This window comes from Homo sapiens, chromosome 2, assembly GCF_000001405.40.
Source record: "Homo sapiens chromosome 2, GRCh38.p14 Primary Assembly".
NCBI lineage: Eukaryota > Metazoa > Chordata > Mammalia > Primates > Hominidae > Homo > Homo sapiens.
This window is the reverse complement of record NC_000002.12, coordinates 110,912,936-110,937,252: the sequence shown is the minus strand read 5'-3', so window position 1 is coordinate 110,937,252 and position 24,317 is coordinate 110,912,936. Positions and strand designations below refer to the sequence as shown.

Below are 24,317 nucleotides of genomic sequence, written 5' to 3'. Positions count from 1 at the left end.
TCCTGGTCAGCTTCTGGATGGGGGCTGGTCATCAGAAATGCCAAGCCATGGTTAGAAGCTCACAGCTTTTATCGCCCTCCCTGAAACCCCTGCCATCCTCCAGGAAGGGCAGAGGAGCTAGAGACTGAGTTAATAATTGATCATGCCTATGCGATGAAGCCTCTATAAAAATCCCTAAAATAGTTCGAGACCAGCCTGACCAACATGGTAAAACCCCATCTCTACTAAAAGTACAAAAATTAGCTGGGCATGGTGGCACATGCCTTAATCCCAGCTACTCAGGAGGCTGAGGGAGGAGAATTGCTTGAACCCAGGAGGCGGAGGTTGTGGTGAGCCAAGATTGCACCATTGCACTCCAGCCTGGGCAACACAGCAAGACTCCATCTCAAAAAAAAAAAAAAATCCCTAAAATAAGTGGTTCAGAGAGCTTCCAGGCTGGTGAACACATCCTTGTGCCAAGCAGGGCGGTACACACCAACTCCAGAGGGACAGAAGCTCCCGTGCTCAGAACCCTTCTGGACCTCAGCCGATGTATCTCTTTATCTGGCTGTTTATCTGTATCCTTAATTATTTCCAGTAAACATTTAAGTGTTTCTCTGAGTACTGTGAGCTGTTCTAGCAAATTATTGAACCTAAGGAGAGGGTCATGGGAACTCCTGATTTATAGACAGGTTAGGCAAAAGTGTGGGTAGACCAGGAACCATGACTCGCACCTGTAATCCCAGCACTTTGGGAGGGTGTGATGGGAGGATGACTTGAGGCCAGGAGTTTGAAACCAGCCTGGGCAACACAGTGAGATCCCCATCTCTACAAAAAATAAATTAGCCAGTGTAGTGGTATGCGCCTGTAGTCCTAGCTACTTGGGAGGCTGAGGAAGGAGGATTGCTTGAGCCCAGGAGTTCAAGGCTACAGTGAGCTGTGATTGTGCCACTACACTTCAGCTTGGGTGACAGTGAGACCCTGTCTCAATAATAATAATAATAACAGTGCGGGTAACCCAGAGAACCACTATTTGTGACTAGCATCCAAAGTTGGGGGAAGACTTATGGAACTGAGGCCTTAATCTGTGGAGTCTGCATGCACTCCAGGTAGTCGTCAGAATAAATTAAATTGTAGAGCAGGGTTCCCCAATCCCCAGGCCATGGACCAGTACCAGACCATGGCCTATTAGGAACCGGGCCACACAGCAAGAGGTAAGTGGTGGGAGCAAGTATTACTGCCTGAGCTCCACCTCCTGTCAGTTCAGCAGCACCATTAGATGCTCATAGGAGCGTGAACTCTATTGTGAACTGCACATGTGAGAGATCTGCACGCTCCTCATGAGAATCGAAAGCCTGAGGATCTGAGGCAGAACAGTTTCATCCCGAAAACATCTCCCCTACCCCGCACCCCCCACCCCCAAAACCATCCATGGAAAAATTGTCTTCCACGAAACCAGTCCGTGGTGCCAAACAGGTTGGAGGCCACTGTTGCAGAGCACCCTGTTAGTGTCCACAGAGAATTAGAGGACTGGTTGTTATGGAAAAGCCACACATCTGGTGTCAGAATTATTGTGAGCAGAGGACACAGCATTTGCCTTTTAGGGCCCTCTGCCCCAGGTTGCTCAGGAGCTACTGGGCGCAGAGTTCTGTGAGGCAGCGTGCCTGGGGGGCTGGCATTCCAGCATGGACTGCGTCTTCTCTAACAGGGTGGGGTTATTTCCGCACTGCTGGGTGGTCCTCGGCAGCACAGGTGAACATGACAGGCTGGATCACTGGAGAGCAGGCGAGGGCGGTTGTTCCGGGTGGCACTGCCAGGGCTCAGCATTGACCCTGGGGAAATACGGCCTCCCAGAACAAGCACTGAGGCCAGGACGAAGGGATGAGGGTTAGGATGACAAGAGGGGTGCAGGAGGGTCTCTGTGCAGGGAGGCTATGAAGGCCTGGGGGTGAGAGACCCCTGGGCCTGCCCACCTGTGAACTGCGAGAAAGGGAATGAGTCACGGGAGCCCAGAGGACCAGGAGCCTGCAAGAGGTTCTGCGCAAGCCCTCAGGCTGAGTCACCTGTCAAGGCCACAGTGTCTGAGCTCAGGGCCCCCAGCAGTGCCCCAACACCCCACTGTGTGGGCTGTCCCTGCCTGAGGGGCCACTTCAGGTCATACCCCCCACCTGCTGACCTAACCTCCTTACTCTACCCCCGAATCCCTGGGCTGTGTTCCCAGCTGCTCCCAGCCTGCTCACTGAAGGGACAGCCACCTCCTGGAGATGCAGGTAGAAACCAGCCCCCTGGCAGGGCCCTCCTTAGCTAAGGAGAGTCACATCGCGCCATTGCCCCAGCTGCCTTGGAGGACCTCAGCTCCTGGCCAGCTGCACCCTAGGCCAGCTATTATTTCATTCTCCATTCCCTTTCTTTTCCATGTGGACCCCACACAACAACCCCATAGGAATGAAGCAGACATGCCCCACCCCCCACCATCATCAGGGACACATCTTCACTTAGCCACCTAAAAGAAATGATCATGCTAGCTTTCAGGTGGACAAACACCATGGATCACATGGGAGAGGCCCTCAGGCTGTGCCCGCAGCTCTGCCTCTTATGAAGGCTCAGCCCCTCTTCACCATTGCCCCTCTGTGCCATCCGTTAGCTCCACACGGATGGCAGGGAATCGGCTTTCCAGAAACTCATCCTTTCCCTTTTATTTTCTACAGCTGCCCTTGACTTGCCCTTGATCCATTCTCTTCTGAAGCTAAAACTCTTCATCTTCCCCTTCATGTTCAGAGGTGCTGTTTATAAGCAAATATTTGATGAAGTTCAGCATTAAATTCAGACCAAAGACCAACAGGGGCTCCCTCCTTCCATTCTCCTCTGGGGGTGTGGTCTGGAGTTCCAGTAGCTGCCACATCTGGCTTGCATTCGAATGAAGTGCACAGCTGATCCTGCAGTCCTGCCGTGCCACCATGTCACAGGTCCACAGCCTCATGCTGCGTGTCCTGCCCTCAGACACCCAACTTGGGTTCACTTTGTCATGGGCTCTGGACCCCCGCATGGGTGTGGAGACCTGCAGAGTCCTGCAGGGCTTCTGTTCTCACAGCTGCACACAGATCCAGCTGCTCTCAGAGTCCCCCTCAACTCCCTCAAATATTCATATTGGGATTTCTAACACCTTGTGCTTCTCACCACACAATCCAGTCTGAGACTGGGGCTGGAGACACACCAGGAAGTCTCTGAATGCTCTGCCTCCTGTGTCCTCACCAGGGGTGAGGGAAACCCTTGGGGTCATTTCCTGTGTTCTCCCAAGGGATTAAAACATTGGAGCAGAGCTTTGATCATCTGAACCTTCAGTGGCCCTTTCCCATACTGTCCACTACTACCTTTGCCCCACGAAGTTTCATGATATTTATTGTGTGCCTTCATGGGCCAGGCATTTTACAAACATGTATTCTATCAGTCCTGGCAGCATCATATGATGGAGACACACAAGACTATGAGGCTGGTAAGGAAGGAACCCAGAGTCATGGGCAGTTGGGATTTCTATTAGACTCTGAAGCATGTTATCTGCCCGCCCCACAGTGCTCCCCCAGTGTGGGTTGTATCGTGGGGACCCACGGGGGCTGCAGGCCTTGGGGCTCACCATGCCTCCAGTGCACTCGCGGCAGTCCTGCAGGCAGCGGATGTTCTCCCAGGTGCTGTAGGCCTTCAGCCCCGCCACCAGAGCCTGCAGCGAGCGACTGTTGACCAGCTCCTTTCCCTGGAAGACATCCTCATCCAGGAGGGCCCCAGCATACCTGCAGGACAAAGCAGACATGTGTGATGGAAGTGGCGGTGCAGTCAGCACATGTGTGAAGGAGCATTATCTGTGAAGTGCTATAACGCTATTTGAGGAAAGAATATGATGTCAGTGATGCAGATTTTAAACTGTAGATAGTCACTAAAAAATAACAGTGGCATAGTTAAAACGCTACCAGTGGAAACCTAAAAATTATTTAATTAGTCAATGAAACACAAGAGCAGAGGGAAAAGGGAACAAAGAACATATGGGATATATAGAGAAAAAGTTGCAGGATAATATTCTAAAACTCTATGTTTATTGATAGTTACATTAGGTGCAAATGGTTTAAACAGTACTATTTAATTTGGAGATTGTCAGACATGACTTTTAAAAAATCAAGATTCAACTAGATGCTTTATACAAGAAACCCACTCAAAATATAAAGAGAAATAGGTCAAAAGAAAAATAACAAAAAAATTTATACCTGCAAACACGAACCAGAGGAACAGCAGAGGCCTGTCGGCATCTGACGTAGACCTCGAGATTAAACCTGCTCCTCCAAAGTCTACCAAAGTCTTCATGGGTCTGTCAAAACTGTCACCCTGCACCATGACCATACGTGCAACCATGAGTCTCCACCACATCGTTCTCCCATTGGAAAACCTCTCCTTTGCTTTCTGTCCAAGTTAACTTTTCTTCCAATCCATTTACAGGCCTCACTGCTTACGCTGACATCTGTCTAGGCACCCCTTGACCCAGCACAAAGTGGGACCTATGCTCAACTCTCCTCTTATTTTGGTCTACACACATAGGATCAGGTTCCAAATTATTTTCTTTTAACCACACACACAAAAGGTTTCACATGCCTCTTGTATTTGTAACTTTTTAATTCCACTTCCCTTGAAATTCTGCACCTTACAACAATGCAGTATACCTCAATTCCACTCCCCCATCCACTTTGCTACTGTTGAGATTTTATATATAAAGATATGTATACATATTATGTATAAAATATAGATACAGATCTTCTGCATGTGTGATAAACCTCATGCCTATTTTTGCTTTAAACAACTTATCTTCTTCCCTAATCAACAATATTGAGAAATAATATGTTTACAATGATGCATTCATTCAAAGTGCACCACTTGAAGAGTTTTGACAACCGTACACACCCATGAGAATAGCATCACAATCAAGCTACAGAACAAAATGCCTCATGTCTTTTTGCACTCCATTCCTTTCTTTACTCCCACCCCAAGGCAACCACTGAACTGTTCTTTGACACTATAGGTGAGATGTATTTTAAGTAAATGGAATTGCAGAGTGTGTGTTGTCTTGCTTCTTTCAATCAGCATGCTGTTTTGAAATTCATCCACATTACAATATATATTTGTAGTTGTTCCTTTTTATTGCTAGTAGTACTCTATTCTACGTAATGTACTCACCGCATTCATTTATGCATTCACTTGTTGATGAACATTTTGGTTGTTTCCAGTTTGGGACTATTGCAAATAAAACTGTTATGAAAATTCATGTACAATTCTTAGAGAAAATACATGTCTTCATTTCTCTTGAGTAAATACATTGAAGTGAAATGGCTCAGTCATACGGTAGATGCATTTCAGGCTTTGTAAGAAGCTGCCAAATAATTTTCCAAAGTGGTTATGCAATTTTACATTCCTACCAGCGGTGTGTAATAATTATAGTTGTTCTACATTCCTGCCAACAATTGGTCTTTACAGTCTTTTTAATGTTAGTCATTCTAGTGTATATGTAATGGTATCTCCTTATGGTTTGAATTTGCATCTGTAAAATGGAGATATAATTTCCTATTTCATAGAGTTGTTGGGAAAACTGAGGCTCAACTGAAGTAAACATACCTCAGTCAAGGTCCCTCATGTGTGAGGGCAGAGCTAGCATTTAAACCCAGGGCTCTCTATTCCTAAATAGCATGTTCTTTTCATTATAGATAATGTTCCTGTCAGTGCCCTAAGGAAGTCTGTGGCATTTTCATCTATGCTATATTATCATCACCCATGCTCCGGGCTGTGACTATAATACAATGACTCTCAGAGAATCTCAGAAATGGGTATTTAAAAAAATGTATACATGATTCCCCATTGATCTCTCCAATCACACACACCCCCATCTCTCCCCATTCCCCAGGGGTGGAAATAGGTGGGAAATAAGAAATAAATAGTCTTTAAGAAAAGAACTGTGAGAGGCCCCAGCCAAACTTCCAGCTGCCAGGTGGAGAGGTGCACCAGTGGCTCTTACTCTTTGCTGTACCCTTACATTTGTTTAACCAAGGAGTCTGAGAAGTCTTCCATGTTCAGTGTGTTTTAGAGTACAGGAGGAGTATGTCTTAAGAAAATCTGATATAAGAAACTCATCGTGGCCCAAAAGATAAATTAGGAAATAGGGATTCTTGAGGCAAAATTATTTCTCATTTCCAAACATGTTTATTTAATAGGTGATGTCTCAAGAAATGCAAGGTATTTGTTTATGGGTTACATCCACTCAAAAAATAGATTAAACAAACTGTTAGAACTGTATTAGTGTTTTCATACTGCTGATAAAGACATACCTGACACTGGGTAATTTATAAAGCAAAAAGGTTTAATGGACACACAGTTTCACAAGGGAAGGGCTCACAATCATGATGGAAGGCAAAAGGCACATTTTGCATGATGGCAGGCAAGAGACAGAATGAAAGCCAAGTGAAAGGGGAAACCTCTTGTAAAACAACTAGATCTCATGAGACTTATTCACTACCATGAGAAGAGTATAGCGGAAACTGCCCCCATGATTCAATTAGCCCCCACTGAGTCCTTCCCACAACACATGGAATTATGGGAGCTACAATGCAAGATGAGATTTGGGTGGGCACACAGCCAAATCATATCATTCCACACCTGGCCCTTCCCAAATCTCATGTCCTCACATTTCAAAACCAGTCATCCCTTCCCAACAGTCCCCCAAAGTCTTAAGTCATTTCAGCATTAACTCAAAAGTTTACAGTCCAAAGTCTTATCTGAGACAAAGCAAGTCAAAGCAAGTCCCTTCCACCTATGAGCCTGTAAAATCAAAAGCAAGTTAGTTACTTCCTAGATACAATGGTGGTACAGGCATTGGGTAAATACAGCTGTTCCAAATGGGAGAAATTGGCCAAAACAAAGGGGCTACAGGCCCCCTGTAAGTTCACAGTCCAGTGGGGTGGTCAAATCTGAAAGCTCCAAAATGATCTCCTTTGACTCTTTGTCTCACGTCCAGATCACACTGATGCAAGAGGTGGGTTCCCATGGTCTTGGGCAGCTCTGCTCCCCTGGCTTTGCAGGGTACAGCCCCCTACCCCAGCTACTTTCACAAGCTGGCAGTGAGTGCAGCTTTTCCAGGTGCATGGTGCAAGCTGTCAGTGGATCTGACATTATAGGGTCTGGAGGACACAGCTCTACTAGGCAGTACCCCGATGGGGACTCTGTGTAGGGGCTTCAACCCCACATTTCCCTTCTACACTACCCTAGCAAAGGTTCTCCATGAGGGCCCCGCCCCTGCAGCAAACTTATGCCTGGACATCCAGGCATTTCCATACATCCTCTGAAATCTGGGCAGAGGTTTCCAAACCTCAATTCTTGACTTCTGTGAACCTGCAGGCTCAACACCATGTGGAAGCTGCCAAGACTTGGGGCTTGCATCCTGTAAAGCCATGCCTCCAGCTATACCATGGCCCCTTTTAGCCATCGCTACAGCAGCTGGGATGCAGGGCACAAAGTCCCTAGGCTGCACACAGCAGGAAGACCCTGGGCCTGGCCCATGAGACCATTTTTTCCTCCTAGGCCTCCTGGCTTGTGATGGGAGGGGCTGCTGCAAAGGTCTCTGACATGCTCTGTAGACATTTTGCCATTGTCTTGGGGATTAGCATTTGGTTCCTCACTATTTATACAAATTTCTGCAGCAGGCTTGAATTTCTCCTCAGAAAATGGGTTTTTCTTTTCTATCACATCTTCAGGCTGCAAATTTTCTGAGCATTTATACTGTTTCCCTTTTAAAATAGAATGTTTTTAACAGCACCCAAGTCATCTCTTGAATGCCTTGCTGCTTAGAAATTGCTTGTGCCAGATACCCTAAATCATCTCCCTCAAGTTCAAAGTTCCACACATCTCTAGGGCCGGGGCAAAATGCCACCTGTCTCTTTGCTAAAACATAGAAAGAGTCACCTTCACTCCAGTTCCCAACAAATTCTTCATCTCCATCTGAGTCCACCTCAGCCTGGATTTCATTGTCCATATCATTATCACCATTTTGGTCAAAGCCATTTAAGAAGTCTCTAGGAAGTTCCAAACTTTTCCTCATTTTCCTTTCTTCTTCTGAGCCCTCCAAACTGTTCCAACCTCTACCTATTACCCAGTTTCAAAGTCACTGGATATGTTTACAACAGCACAACACCCTACTGGGACCAATTTACTCTATTAGTCCGTTTCATGCCGCTGATAAAGACATACCCAAGGCTAGGTAATTTATAAAGAAAAACAGGTTTAATGGACTCACAATTCCGTGTGGCTGGGAAGGCCTCAAAATCATGGCAGAAGGTGAAAAGCATGTCTTACATGGTGGCAGGGAAGAAGACAATGGGAGACAAGTGAAAGGGGTTTCCCCTTATAAAACCGTCAGATCTCATGAGACTTATTCACTATGATGAGAACAGTATGGAGGAAACCAGCCCCATGATTCAATTATCTCCCACTGGGTCCCTCCCACAACACGTGGGAATTATGGGAGCTACAGTTCAAGATGAGATTTGAGTGGGGACACAGCCAAACAATATCAGGAACCCACCATCATGGTAAGATTCATGAGAAATACCACAATATATCTAAAACCATAAAGTCAATGAGATGGCAAGATTCTATTTATAAAAGTTTATTTTGTATAAAAAGACCAAACAAGACTTTTTGGCAATAAGCTATTAGAATCATATTTTTAAAAATCTAGTGCACAAATGGCAGGGATGAGTAATGTCTAAGGTGCTTAACTATCCTTAACTTCATTTTTTAACAAAGAGAAGACTTGGTGAATTTCTGTAAACTGTGGAGGGTTATTACACTCATTCATTTATTCAACAAATATTCATAAAGTCTAACTTTGTGCAAGGCATCATTTCAGGTGCTGTTGTAACATCAATCAAAAAACAAAGAGAAAAATCTCTGTCCCGTTGATTTGTCTTGAGACATTAAATGAGTTACTACACATGAAATCTTAGGACAGTGCCTGGTAAATGGCAAGAACTTGAATGTGTGTTAGCTATTTTCTTAATTTTACCCTTACAGGTATTGGGTAAATGGAGATTGCCCAAGAGAACAAGTGAATCCAGTTGAAAGATAGCAGCAGGGACAGTGCTGTGGCCCCTCCTTGCCTGAGATGCATCCTGGACTGCTTGAGTTGCTCGCCTGGAATAAAGAGGAGAGGCAGACCCTAAAATACTCACTTTGGCTGGTGGACTGCAAATATTGATTTTTTAAAATTGTTAATCATTTTCTAAGTTAGGAAATTCATCCCTGTAGCAAATCCCACTAGATGATTCCAAAGGGAGATATCAGCTCCCAACTTCCTTGGCCAGCTACCTCATGGACCCTTCAGAAATGTACGTTTCAAAGATGATCACATGATTTAAAGGCAAAGCTCCAAGCAATCCCACAGCCAGGTGTGATGTAGTTACACAAGGCAATTTCATTTTGTAGGTGAATTAATCTGTGCAGAGAGCCAGACGCTACTAGGTGTGATGATGCCAAATTGAGGATTCGCAACTTCTGTGCTCACAGAATTTACAATCACAAACCAAAAGTAACAGTGCAATGACAAGATGGGCCCAGGCTGCTACTCCAGGAAGCTTATATGGGGGCTCCTTATTCCAGAAGGGGCTCAGGGAGAGTGTCTTAGAGAAGTTGGCAGCCTCAACTGGGTCTCAAAAGATAAGCACTAAATTATCAGGTGAGGGAAGCAAGAGTGTGAGGGGAAAGACGTCTATAAGAAAGGCCACAGCAGGAGCACAGGACAGGTGTGGAGGCCTCAGTAGAGGACAGAGAGGTGTGGGTGGGGTGGAAGTGGGAAGGCCCAGCAGGTGGAAGGCACCCCAGGGCCACATGCGGGAGCTTGAGCTTGACCCATGATTTGGTTTGGCTCAGTGTCCCCACCCAAATCTCATCTTGAATTGAATTGTAATTCCCATGTGTTGGGGGAGGGGCCTGGCGAGAGGTGATTGAATCATGGGGGTGGACTTCCCCCTTGCTGTTTTTGTGATAGTGAGTGAGTTCTCATGATATCTGGTTGGTTGAAAGTGTGTGGCACTTCCCGCTTTGCTCCTTCTCTCTCCTGCTGACATGGGAAAAAGGTGCTTGCTTCCCCTTTGCCTTCCACCATGATTGTAAGTTTCCTGATGCCTCCTAGTCATGCTTCCTGTTAGGCTTGTGGAACTATGAGTCAATTAAACCTCTTTTCTTCATAAATTACCCAATCTCAGGTAGTTCTTTGTGGCAGTGAAAGAACAAACTAATATAACCCAGTACAGAAGATGCTGGAAGGCCCCAGGAGGGAGGCAGCTGGCAAGTAGGAATTTAGATTTCATTTCAGGTAGGGCGCTGGTGATTCCTGGAGAGTGGATTTGAAGAGGGCCAGGCTGAATGGGGAGAGAGTGTGCAACCAGGGATGGTCGGGGAGAGATGACAGGGAAGGAAGGCTTTGAGTAATTTCAATGTAGGAGGAAAAATCATCACAATGTGGTAATTGGTGGGACAGGGGGATAGAAAGTTTGAGGGTACTGGAGGGGATGGCAATAGCAACTAACATTTATTGGGCATTTATTATCCTCCAGACCCTAATCTAAGCATGTTCAAATATTCACTCACTCAATTCTTCTAATAACCCTCTAGGTCAGATATTATTATTCCTATGTTATAGATGGGGAAACTGACGCACAGCATGTCAGCAGCCTTCTCGATGTTATACAATTAGCAAGTGGCAAGATCAGGATTAGGACCCTCAAAGTAGGGTCACAGAGGGCCTGCTCCTTGCTGCCACACTGGAGCATGTATGATATGCCGGGCCCTGTCTCAAGCCCATTTCATGTGTTAATTCATTTAATCCCTTGACAACCCAAAGTAGGTGCAGAAATACCTCATTTAATTGCATTTTGCAGATATCGCACTTTTTAAAAATTGAGGCCTTGCGGCAACCTTGCATTGAGCAATTCTATCAGAGCCCTTTCTCCAGCAGCACATATTCACTTTGTGTCTTTGTGACGTTTTGGTAATTCTCACAATATTTCAAACTTTTTCATTATTATTGTATCTGTTATGGTGATCTGTCATTAGTGATCTTTGATGTTACTATTGTAATCGTTTTGGGGCATCACAAACTGCACCCACATAAGACAGTGAACTTAATTGGTAAATGTGTGTGTTCTGACTGCTCCACTGACCTGCCATTTCCCCGTCTCTCTCCCGCTCCTCAGGCCTCTCTATTCCCTGAGACACAACTATGCTGAAATTAGGCCAGTAACCCTACAGTGGCCTCTGAGTGTTCAAGTGAAAGGAAGAGTCATATGTCTTTCTAGATCGAAAGCTAGAAATGCTTTAAAAAAAAAAAAAAAAAAAAAGCTAGAAGTAATTAAGCCTAGTGAGGAAGGCATGTTGAAAACTGAGAAAGGCTGAAGTTAGGCCTCTTGTGTCAAAGAGTTAGCCAAGTTGTGAATGCAAAGGAAAAGTTCTTGAAGGAAATTAAAAGTGCTACTCCAGTGAACACACAAATGATAAGAAAGCAAAACAGACTTTTGCTGATATGGAGAAAGTTTTAGTGGTCTGGATGGAAGATCAAACCAATCACAACATTCCATTAAGCCAAAGCCTAATCCAGAACAAGGTCATAACTCTCTTCAATTCTACAAAGGCTGAGAGAAGTGAGGAAGCTACAAAAGAAAAGTTTGAGGCTAAATTGGTTCTTGATTTTTAAAGAAAGACACCATCTCTATAGCATAGAAATGCAAGGTGATGCAGCAAGTGCTGATGTAGAAGCTACAGCTTAAGCAGCAAGTTATCCAGAAGATCTAGCTAAAATCAGTGATTACAGTGGCTACACTCAACAACATATTTTCAGCATAGGTGAAACAGCCTTGGTTTCATCTAGGACTTTCATCAGTACCTACTTCAAAACTTCAAAGAACAGAGAGAATCTCTTGTTAGGGGCTAATGCAGCTAGTGGCTTTAAGTTGAAGCCAATGGTCATTTACTATTTCAAAAATCCTAAGGCCATTAAGAATTATGCTGAATCTACTCTGCCTGTGCTCTAGAAATGAAACAACAGCACCTGGTTGATAGCACATCTGTTTACAGTATAGTTTACTGAATATTTTAAGCCTGTTGTTGAAACCTAATGCTCAGAAATAAGAATTCCTTTCAAAATGTTACTGCTCATTGACAATGCACCTGGTCACTTAGGAGCTCTGAGGGAGATGTACAAGGAGATACATGTCGTTTTCATGCCTGCTAACACAACCACCATTCTCCAGTCCCTGGATCAAGCAGTAATTTTGACTTTCAAGTCTTATTATTTATTAAATACATTTCATAAGGCTATGGCTGTCATAGACAGTGATTCCTCTTAGGGACCTAGGTGAATTGAAAATCTTCCTCACCAATCTAAAGGCCATTAAGAACATTTGTGATTCATGGGAGGAGGTCAAAATACCAACATTAGCAGTTCAGAAGAAGTTGATGTTCCAACCCTCATGGATGACTTTGAGGGGTTCAAGACTTCATTGGAGAAAGTCACTGTAGATATGGTGGAAACAGCAAGAGAACGATAATTAGAAGTGGAGCCTGAAGATGTGACTGAATTGCTGCAATCTCATAATAAAACTTTCACAGATGAGGAGTTGCTTCTCATGAAGGAGCAAAGAAAGTGGTTTCTTGAGATAGAATCTACTCCTGGTGAAAATGCTGTGAACATTGTTGAAATAACAAGTGAGGATTTAAAATATCATGTAAACTTAGTTGATAGGGCAGCAGCAAGGTTTGAAAGGACTGACTCCAATTTTGGAAAAAAATTCTGCTGTGGGTAAAACGCTGCCAAATGGCATCAGATGCTACAGAAAAATGTTTCATGAAAGGAAGAGTCAATTGTTGCGGCAAACTTCGTTGTTATCTTAAGACATTGCCACAGCCACCCTAACCTTCAGCAATTACCAACCTGCTCAGTCAGCAGCCATCAACATCAAGTCAAGACCCTCCACTAGCAAAAAGAGTAACTCACTGAAGGCTTAGATGCTCATTAGTCTTTTTTTAGCATAAAGTATTTTTAACAGACGTATGTATATTTTTTAGACATAATGCTGTTGCACACTTAATAGGCTGTAGTACAGTGTAAATATAACTTTTATACACACTGGGAAACAAAAAAATTATGACTCATGTTATTGCGATATTCACTTTATTGCAGTGGTCTAGAACCAAATCTGCAATGTCTCTGAGGTATATCTGTACTGACATTCATGCTCTGTTTCTCTTTTTTTTTTTTTGAGATGGAGTCTCGCTCTTATCACCCAGGCTAGATGACAATGGTGTGTTCTCAGCTCACTGCAACCTCTGACTCCTGAGTTCAAGCAATTCTCCTGCCTCAGCCTCCCGAGTAGCTGGGATTACAGGCCCCCACCACCACGCCCAGCTAATTTTTTTGTATGTTTAGTAGGGATGGGGTTTCACCATGTTGGCCAGGCTGGTCTCGAACTCCTGGCCTCAAGTGATCTGCTCATCTCGGCCTCCCAAAGTGCTGAGATTACAGGCATGAGCCACCACACCAGGCCTCATGCTCTGTTTCTAATAAGGGAATGCACATCCAGAAAATTTAAGTAATTGCTCATTAGGATGGTAAGTGGAGAGACTGGGATTTGAACTCAGGATAGTCTGGAAACTGTCCATTTCCTGCTCACCTAACTCCAGACCTGTACACCTAAAGATGTATACTCTCCTTGCACTTGAGTAGGATCAAATGTATTGAATAAACATCTAACCAGTCAAACCTCCACTTACCCAGACCCTGAACCTTGAAACCAATTGAGTGGCAGCCTACATTCATGGAAAGTTAGGAGATGGGCCCTACGACCAAGATGTGACACCCTTAGTAGAGAAAAAAAAAGAAAAAGAAAAGATGTGTGTTGGGGGGAAGTAGTCAGCATAAAATTTTGTCATGCTCCAACCAATTTTATGAAGCTATTTCCTTACAAGTTGGAGAAGAGGTAGCAGGGACAGTAAACTAGGAGCAAACTAGAAAACCAGAACGTTGTCGCAGAATGTGCCAACTTTTTCCTGGGCTTGTGTTAAAGTGAAGGCAGTCTCTTTCCCCTAATTGGGACACTGCCTTCCTGGAGATTCCTATGACCAGATTTTCCATGGGTCAACCCCCTACTGTGATGTAGGGAGACCGGGAATGAAAGAAGCAGGAGGAAAGGAAAGAAGCTGCAGAGCTATAATGGGGACAATGAGGTGGGCCAGAGACCATGGAGGGTGCAAGGAGGCCCAAGTCAAGAAAATTAGAAGGTCCTTGGGGGCAATTAGACTGACAGCTGGTGAAGGCAAGTGTCGATCTGTCCTGTTCAATGCGGCATTCATGAATGGCACATGGTAAGGGCTCTGGGGTTCTTTCTTTTATCAATTACTGAATTTCTATTGATCACCTCTTGTTTCTTTCCTTGAGCTAGACTGTGACATTTGTCTACGTCTCTGATACAGGTACCTGGAGAGTGTCTAACTAAGATCAAGAGAAACTTTAATTTTCATTGACAGTGTAACACAGCACTTATAAAATCAAGCTTAAATCAAGCCAAAATATAAAAAGAGCTGAAGAAAAAGGAAACATGTTGATACATATAACACTTTTATCATAGATATATGACAAACAGATATATATTTATAAATGTAGAATATATAGCAGCTCTTTCTTATGTAGTCTAATAACTTCTGTGTCACAAATTTGCAAATAGTTGACTGAGAAGCAAATGTATACACAGTCTTGCCTCTGTAACAGTTACAAGTCACACTGGGGAAAACTCAAAGAAAAAAAAGAAAAAAACTGTTTTCCTTTGGCATGCATATGAAAAATTTTCCGGTTTCATCATCAAGTTATTTTGATCCAATTTAAACTTTCATGATCATATAACACTGTTGCCTGTTTTCTATTTGTGAAATTTCCAGGTCATGCTAGGAAGCTACCTGCATGTGTATGCACCAAAACAACAACCAAAAAAAACTTTCAAAATACTTGAGGAAAAAATGGATAAAACTGAAAGAAGAAATAAACAAATTCATAATTACAGTTGGAAATGCCAACCCCCTTCTTGCAGTCATTGATAAAACACGTAAGCAGAAAACCAATAATGATATATATGATCTGCAGATCACAATTAGCCAACTTGACCTAATTGACATTTATAATACTCTCCTCCCAACCACAACAAAATACACATCCTTTTTAAGTGTACATAGAACACTATTTTTACTGAGCCATAAATTTCAAAGAATAAAATTCATACAAAGGATGTTATTGGACCATGACAGCAGTTATAAATAATTCGGGGGTGGAAAGGGAAGTCTTAAGGAGAAATTTAAACTATTTTTAACTAATTGAAATTGCAACATGTCAAAATGAGAAAGATGCAGCTAAAGCAATGCTTAAAGGAAATTTTAGTGTGAATTGATTATATTAGGCAAGAAGCAATGTCTCAAAGCAGTAATCTAACCTTTCACCTTAAGAGAGGGGGGTGGAAGGCCAGGCGCGGTGGCTCATGCCTGTAATCCTAGTACTTTGGGAGGCCAAGGCGGGCAGATCACGAGGTCAGGAGATTGAGACCATCCTGGCTAACACGGTGAAACCCCAACTCTACTAAAAGTACAAAAAGTTAGCCGGACGTGGTGGCAGGCACCTGTAGTCCCAGCTACTTGGGAGGCTGAGGCAGGAGAATGTTGTGAACCCGGGAAGTGGAGCTTGCAAGTGAGCTGAGATGGCGCCACTGCACTCCAGCCTGGGAAACAATGCAAGACTCTGCCTCAAAAAAAAAAGGGGGGGGGGGGTGGATATATAGAGACACAGAGAGAGAGAGAGAGCAAGAGAGAGCAACTTAAAGCAAGCAAAAGGAAAGAAATAAAGATTGGAGCAGATAGCAATGAAATTTAAATTAAAAATAGAGAAAATCAATCACATAAAATATGGAAAAAGCAACAAAATTGATAGGCCTCTATCCAAACTGATGTGAGAGAGACAAAACAGTGGGGATAAGGAAAGAGGACACAAAACATCAGGATTTCAGGGGAGAAATCGCACTGATCCCACAGACATTAAAAAGAAAAGGGAATGTTACAACCAACACTATCGCCATAAATTTGACAAATTAGATAAAATAAATTTGAAAAGCACTCAAAAAATTAGGTAATCTGAAAAGTCCTATATTTATTAAAATCTACCCAACAAAAGCTCCTAGAACTAAAGTCAATAGTATTCCTACATATTAGAAATAAACAACTGTACCTTCAAAAAGGTAAAATGCTTAGGTATCAACATAGTAAAATATGAGTAGGGTTTGTATGTTGGAAACTTCAAAACAGAACTCAAAGAAGACCTAAATAAATGAAAAGATATACAGTGTTCATGTATTGAAAGACTCAATATTAATAGGCAGACTATCCCCAAATTGATTTCTAAGTCAATACTATCCCAAGAAAAACATCATCTATCTTTTTTGTAGAGATTAACAAGATGATTCTAAAATATATAAGCAAAGGCCAAAAAAAAAGAATAGCCAAAACAATTCTCAAAAAAGAACATTAGAGAGCTGACACTACCCAATTTCAAGACAAATCAAAATTTAAAGCTGTTGAACCAAACAAAAATTTAAAACTATTGCTCTTATTAAGGCACTCTTAAGAGAATTTTAAAAAGTGACAAACTTGGAGAAAACATTTGCAAATAAAAATATGATGCAAAAAGTCTATTTAGAACCTATAAAGAACTCTTGCACTCAACAATAAGAAAACAAACAACTCAACTGAAAAACTGATAAAAGACCAGAACGGACACTTTGCTAAAGAAGATACACAGATGGCAAATAAGTACATGAAAAGACACTAAACATTATTAGTTATTAGTGTTATAAAAATGTAAAGCTACAAACTATTAGAGACAACTATCAGAAAGACAGAAAACAAATAAAAATCAAAACAAAATCTGACAATAACAATGGCTGGCAAGGATGCAGGACAACTGCACCCTTATACATCACTGATGAAAACACAAAATGATACAACCACTTTGGAAAACACGTTAGCAATTTCTTATAAAGTTAAACATACACTTACCACTTGACCTACCAGTCCTACTTACAAGTATTTGCCCTAGTCAATCAAAACCTTATATTCACACAAAAACTTGTTGAGAATAGTTTTTAGTAGTTATTTATAATTGTAAAAACTAGAAACAACCTACATGTTCCTCCCTAGTTAAATGGATAAACAGCCTGTGGTACATCTATACAATGGAATACTACGAATACTACTCAGCAATAAAAAGTAGGAAAATATTGACTCACACAATGACATGGATGAATCTGAAATTCATTTTGTTAAGTGAAAGAAGGTATATCCAAAAGACTACATATTTTACAATTCTGTGTGTATGACATTCTAGAAAAGGAAAAACTATAGGTGTAAAATACAGGTTGCTGGGGTAAGACTGTGGGAAGAAGTTAACTAAAAAGAGACAGCACAAGGGAATTTGGTGGGAGGTGGAACAATTTTGTTTGATACTGAAGTGGTAGACAATTTTGTCTGATACTGAATGGAACAACTCTGTGTCTTTGTCAAAACCTATAGAACCATACAACACAAAGTGTGATTTTTATTTTTTTACTATTATAGTTTAAGTTCTGGGGTACATCTGCAGAATATGCAGGTTTGTTACACAAATATACATGTGCCATTGTGTTTTGCTGCACCCATCAACCCATCATCTACATTAGGTATTTCTCCTAATGCTATCCCTCCCCTTGCCCCCCCACCCCCTAACAGGCCCCGGTGTGTGATGTTCCCCTCCCTGTGTCCATGTGTTCTCATTGTTCAGCTCCCACTTATGAGCGAGAACATGTGGTGTTTGGTTTTCTGTTCCTGTGTTAGTTTGCTGAGAATGATGGTTTCCAGCTTCATCCATGTCCCTGCAAAGGACAAGAGCTCATCCTTTTTCATGGCTGCATAGTAGTCTGTGGTGTATATGTGCCACATTTCCTTTATCTAGTCTATCATTGATGGGCATTTGGATTGGTTCCAAGTCTTTGATATTGTGAACATGCTGTAACAAACATACCTACCTGTGCATGTGTCTTTATAGTAGAATGACTTATAATCCTTTGGGTATATACCCAGTAATGGGATTGCTGGGTCAAATGGTATTTCTGGTTCTAGATCCTTGAGGAATTGCCACACTGTCTTCTACAATGGTTGAACTAATTTACACTCCCACCAACAGTGTAAAAGCATTCCTATTTCTCCACATCCTCTCCACCATCTGTTGTTTTCTGACATTTTAATGATCACCATTCTAACTGGCGTGAGATGGTATCTCATTGTGGTTTTGATTTGCATTTCTCTAATGACCAGTGATAATGAAGTTTTTTTTCATATGTTTGTTGGCTGCATAAATGTCTTCTTTTGAGAAGTGTCTGTTCATATTCTTCACCCACTTTTTGATATGGCTGTTTGTTTTTTTCTTCTAAATTTGTTTAAGTTCTTTGTATTCTGCATATTAGCCCTTTGTCAGATGGATAGAATGCAAAAATTGTCTCTCATTATATAGGTTGCCTGTTCACTCTGATGATAGTTTCTTTTGCTGTGCAGAAGCTCTTTAGTTTAATTAGATCCCATTTGTCAATTTTGGCTTTTGTTGCCATTGCTTTTGGTGTTTTAGTCATGAAGCCTTTGCCTGTGCCTATGTCCTGAATGGTATTGCCTAGGTTGTCTTCTAGGATTTTGATGGTTTTAGGTCTTAAGTCTTTAATCCATCCTGAGTTAATTTTTGCATAAGGTGTAAGGAAGGGGTCCAGTTTCAGTTTTCTGTATATGGCTAGCCACTTTTCCCAACACCATTTATTAAACAGGGAATCCTTTTCCTATTGCTTGTTTTTGTCAGGTTTGTCAAAGATCAGATGACTGTAGATGTGTGGTGTTATTTCTGAGGCCTCTGTTCTGTTCCACTGGTCTATATATTTGTTTTGGTACCAGTACCATGCTATTTTGGTTACTGTAGCCTTGTAGTATAGTTTGAAGTCAGGTAGCGTGATGCCTCCAGCTTTGTTCTTTTCGCTTAGGATTGTCTTGGCTATGCGGACTCTTTTTTGGTTCCACATGAAATTTAAAGTAGTTTTTTTCTAATTCTGTGAAGAAAGTCAATGGTAGCTTGATAGGGATAGCATTGAATCTATAAACTACTTTGGGCAGTATGACCATTTTCACGACAAATTGATTCTTCCTATACATAAGCATGGAATGTTTTTTCCATTTGATTGTGTCCTCTCTTATTTCCTTGAGCAGCAGTTTGTAGTTCTCCTTGAAGAGGTCCTTCACATCCCTTGTAAGTTGGATTCCTAGGTATTTTATTCTCTTTGTAGCAATTTTGAATAGGAGTTCACTCATGATTTGGTTCTCTGTTTGTCTATTATTGGTGTATAGGAATGCTTGTGATTTTTGCACATTGATTTTGTATCCTGAGACTTTGCTGAAGTTGCTTATACGCTTAAGGAGATTTTGGGCTGAGACTATGGGGTTTTCTACATATACAATCATGTCATCTGCAAACAGGGACAATTTGACTTCCTCTCTTCCTATTTGAATACCCTTTATTTCTTTCTCTTGCCTGATGGCCCTGGCCAGAACTCCCAATACTATGTTGAATAGGAGTGGTGAGAGAGGGCATCCTTGTCTTGTGCTGGTTTTCAAAGGGAATGCTTCCAGTTTTTGCCCATTCAGTATGATAGTGGCTGTGGGTTTGTCATAGATAGCCCTTATTCTTTTGAGATATGTTCCACTGATACCTAGTTTATTGAGAGTATTTAGCATGTAGGGGTGTTGAATTTTGTCAAAGGTCTTTTCTGCATCTATTGAGATAATCATGTGGTTTTTGTCATTGGTTCGGTTTATGTGATGGATTATGTTTATTGATTGATGTTGAACCAGCCTTGCATCCCAGGGATGAAGCCAAATTGATCGTGATGGATAAGGTTTTTGATGTGCTGCTGGATTCGGTTTGCCAGTATTTTATCGAGGATTTTTCCATCGATGTTCATCAGGGATATTGGCCTCGAATTTTCTTTATTTGTTGTGTCTCTGCTAAGTTTTGGTATCAGGATGATGCTGGCCTCATAAAATGAGTTAGGGAGGATTCCCTCTTCTTCTATTTTTTGGAATAGTTTCAGAAGGAATGGTACCAGCGCCTCTTTGTACCTCTGGTAGAATTTGGCTGTGAATCTGTCTGGTCCTGGGTTTTTTTGGTTGCTAGGCTATTAATTACTGCCTCAATTTCAGAACTTGTTATTGGTCTATCCAGGGATTCGACTTCTTCCTGGTTTAGACTTGGGAGGGTGTATGTGTCCAGGAATTTATCCATTTCTTCTAGATTTTCTAGTTTAATTGTGTAGAGGTGTTTATAGTATTCTCAGATGGTAGTTTGTATTTCTGTGGGATCAGTGGTGATATCCCCTTTATCATTTTTTACTGTGTCTATTTGATTCTTTTCTTTTCTTCTTTATTAGTCTGGCTAGCTGTCTATCTATTTTGTTAATTTTTTCAAAAAACCAGCTCCTGGATTCACTGATTTTTTAAAGGCTTTTCGTGTCTGTATCTCCTTCAGTTCTGTTCCGATCTTAGTTATTTCTTGCCTTCTGCTAGCTTTTGAGTTTGTCTGCTCTTGCTTCTCTACTTCTTTTAATTGTGATGTTAGTGTGTCGATTTTAGATCTTTCCTGCTTTCTCTTGTGGGCATTTAGTGCTATAAATTTCCCCCTAAACATTGCTATAGCTGTGTCCCAGAGATTCTGGGACATTGTGTCTTTGCTCTCATTGGTTTCAAAGAACTTATTTATTTCTGCCTTAATTTCATTATTTACCCAGCAGGTTATTTGAAAAGATTAACTAAGCTGATAAACACCCAGCAAAATTGGCTGAGAAAAAGAAAAAAAAAAGGAAGCCACAAAAATTGTTTTCTTTTACAAATAAAAGAAGTGACATTGTCACAGATCTTACAGTCATTAATATTATAATAAGGAAATATTATTAACACATATAGTTTATAAATTAGTGAAGAAGTGAACAAATTTCTCAAAAAATACAGGGTAACAAAACAGGAGAAAAAATTGGCAAGACTGAAGACTCACATTTGTTAAAGAAATTAATAAAGTCATTAAAAACTTTCCAATAAAAAAACAAAAAACCCATATCCATACCATCTTAGTAAATACTATCAAGCATTTAAGGAAGAAATAAGAGCAATCTTACACAAACTCCTTAAGAAAAATAGAGAAGAGATCACTTTCCTATTTTTTTTATGAGGACAATATAACACTGATATCAAAATCTTCCAAGGAAATTTCAAGCACCAAAATTAAAAATCAATATTCCATATGAACATAGACACAAAAAATCCTTATCAAAACATTAGCCAATTAACTCTAGTAATATAAAAAATATATAATATGGCCAGGTACAGTGGCTCACGCCTGTAATCCCAGCACTTTGAGAGGCCGAAGTGGGTGGATCACCTGAGGTCAGGAGTTTGAGACCAGCCTGGCCAGCATGGTGAAAACCCATCTCTACTACAAATACAAAAAAAAATTAGCTGGGTGTGGTTGCAGTTGCCTGTAATCCCAGTTGCTCAGGAGGCTGAAGCAGGAGAATTGCTTGAACCTGGGAGGCAGAGGTTGCAGTGAGCCGAGATTGTGCCACTGCACTCCAGCCTGGGCAACACAGCAAGACTCCATCTCAAAAAAAAAAAAATATATATATATATATATATATGTATATACACACACACACACATACATACACACACACACACACACACACACACACACATATATATATATATAAAATGCATATAACAAAAAATTTCAAAGAATGCAAATTTGGCTCAAAATTTGAAAAGTAATGTAACTCATTTCTTAATAGAATGAAGGAGAAAAATCACATGACTATCTAAATAGAGAAAGAAAAATTGTGTCAAAATTGAACATACATGAAAAAAACACTCAGCCAACTAGGAATTGAAGGGAATTTCCTCAGTCTAATAAAGGGCATCAACAACAACAACAAAAATAGTTAAAAAGAATGAATAAGACCTACTATTTAATAGCAAAACAGGGTGACTATAGTCAGTAATAACTTAATTGTACATTTTAAAATAACTAAAAGAGTGTCATTGGATTGTTTGTAACACAAAGGATAAATGCTTGAGGGGATGGATACTCTATTCTCTATGATGTGCTTATTTCAAATTGCATGTCTGCATTAAAACATCTCACGTACCCCTTAAATATAATACCGGCAATGTAACACCTACTATGTAACACCTACTATATACCCACAAAAATTAAAACAAACAAGAAAGACAATAACAATCTGCAGTGAACATTCATGTTAATGGTGAAATACTGAACGCATTTTCACCTGAAGTCAAGAACAATATAGGATGTCCATCTCACCACTGCTACTCAATATTGTACTGAAGGTTTTGTCCAGTGTAATAAGGCAAAATCAAAACAAAACAAAAATTAAAAGAAATAAATATTGGAAAAAATAAGTAAAACTCTCTTTACTCACATTTGATTTATTGTGCAGGTAGAAAATTCTAAATGGTCTACAAATAAATGACTAATAAGTAAATTTAGTGATAATACAGGTCAGTACACAATGATGAGTTATATTTCTATAAAATATTAGTAATTGGGAATTAAATTAAAAATCAATGCCTTTTGACTACATTTAGTGAAAAATGTGCAAGATTTCTACACTGTAAATTATAAAACATTACTTAGATAAATTGAACACCTGTATAAACAAAGAGATACATCATCTTCATTAATCTGAAAGATGCAATACTGCCCAAATTGCTTTATAGATTCAATGCAATCACAAATAAATCTAAACAGACTTGCAAAGACTCTAGAATAGCAAGACAATTTCGAGGGGAAAAAAAATACTTAGAAGACTCACATAACCTGATTTCTTTTTTTTCCTCCTCTCTCTTTCTCAACAGCTTTATTAGACATATTTCTCATACCACAGCATTCATATTTTTCAAGTGTACAATTCAGTGATTTCTAGTATATTTAAGGAGTTGTGCAACCATTGCCATCTAATTTTAGAATATTTTCATCACCCAAAAGAGAAAGCCTATACCTATTAGCAATCACTCCTCATTTTCTCCTGATATAGTTTGGATGTCCCCTCCACATCTCATATTGTAATTCCCAATGTTGGAGGTGAGACATGGTGGGAGGTATTTGGGTCACGGGGGTGGATTCCTCCAGGCTTGGTGGTGTCCTCACTGTACTGAGTTCTCACAAAATCTAATTGTTTCAAGTGTGTGGTACCTATCCTACTCTCTCTTGCTCCTGCTTTCGCCATGTGATGTGCCTCCTCCTACTTCACCTTCTGCCATGAATAAAAGCTCCCGGAGACCTACCCAGAAGCAGAGTAGATGCCTGTGCCATGCTTGTATAGCCTGCAGAATTATGAGCCAACTAAACCTCTTTTCTTCATTAATTACCCAGCCTCAGGTATTTCTTCAGAGCAATGCAAGACTGGCCTAAATACACCTCCTTTACCCCTCAGTCCCTGGCAACCACTGATTTAGTTTCCATCTCTATCACTCTGACTATTCTGGAAATTTCATATCAATGGAATTATACCACATGATTTTTGCGAGTAGCTCCTTTCACTTAGCATAATGTTTTCAAGGTTTATCCATGTTATAACATGTATCAGTACTTCATTCTTTTTCATTGCCAAATAATATTCCACTTTGTGAATGTGCCATATTTTGTTTACCCATTTGTCAATCTATGGACATCTGGATTTTTTCCACATTTTCATTATTACAAAAAATGTCACTAAGAACACTCATGTGCACATTTTTGTGTGCATATATGTTTTCATTTCTGTGGGGTATATACCTAGGAGTAGAAGCGCTGAGATATATGGCAATTTCATGTTTAATATTTTGGAGAACTGCCAAGCTGTTTTCCAAAGCGACTATACCATTTTACATTACCACCAGCAATGTATGAGGTTTCTATTTCACCACATACTTGTCAACACTTGTTATCATCTTTTTCATTATAGCCATCCTAGTGGGTGTGAAGTTTTATCTGATTGCTGTTTTGATTTGTACTTCCTTGACAAATAATGACTTTTAGAACTTTTTCATGTGCTTATTGGTTATTTGTACATCTTCTTTGGAGGAAAGTCTTTGGATCTTTGCCCATTTTT

General features: G+C 40.9%; 1 protein-coding gene across 30 annotated transcripts in view; it reads right to left on the bottom strand.

Moving 5' to 3' along the window:
- ACOXL (acyl-CoA oxidase like) overlaps positions 1 to 24,317 on the bottom strand; it is a 385,976-nt gene that overhangs the window by 181,296 nt on the left and 180,363 nt on the right. For 29 of the 30 annotated variants that reach the window (NM_001437600.1, XM_011511414.4, NM_001142807.4 and 26 more), the window contains one exon: positions 3,611 to 3,764. In NM_001437600.1, the coding sequence (NP_001424529.1) occupies positions 3,611 to 3,764 (154 nt within the window). Of the gene's footprint in view, positions 1 to 3,610; positions 3,765 to 6,152; positions 9,196 to 24,317 lie in introns of those variants that run through there. The other variant, XM_017004432.3, reaches the window with a different exon arrangement.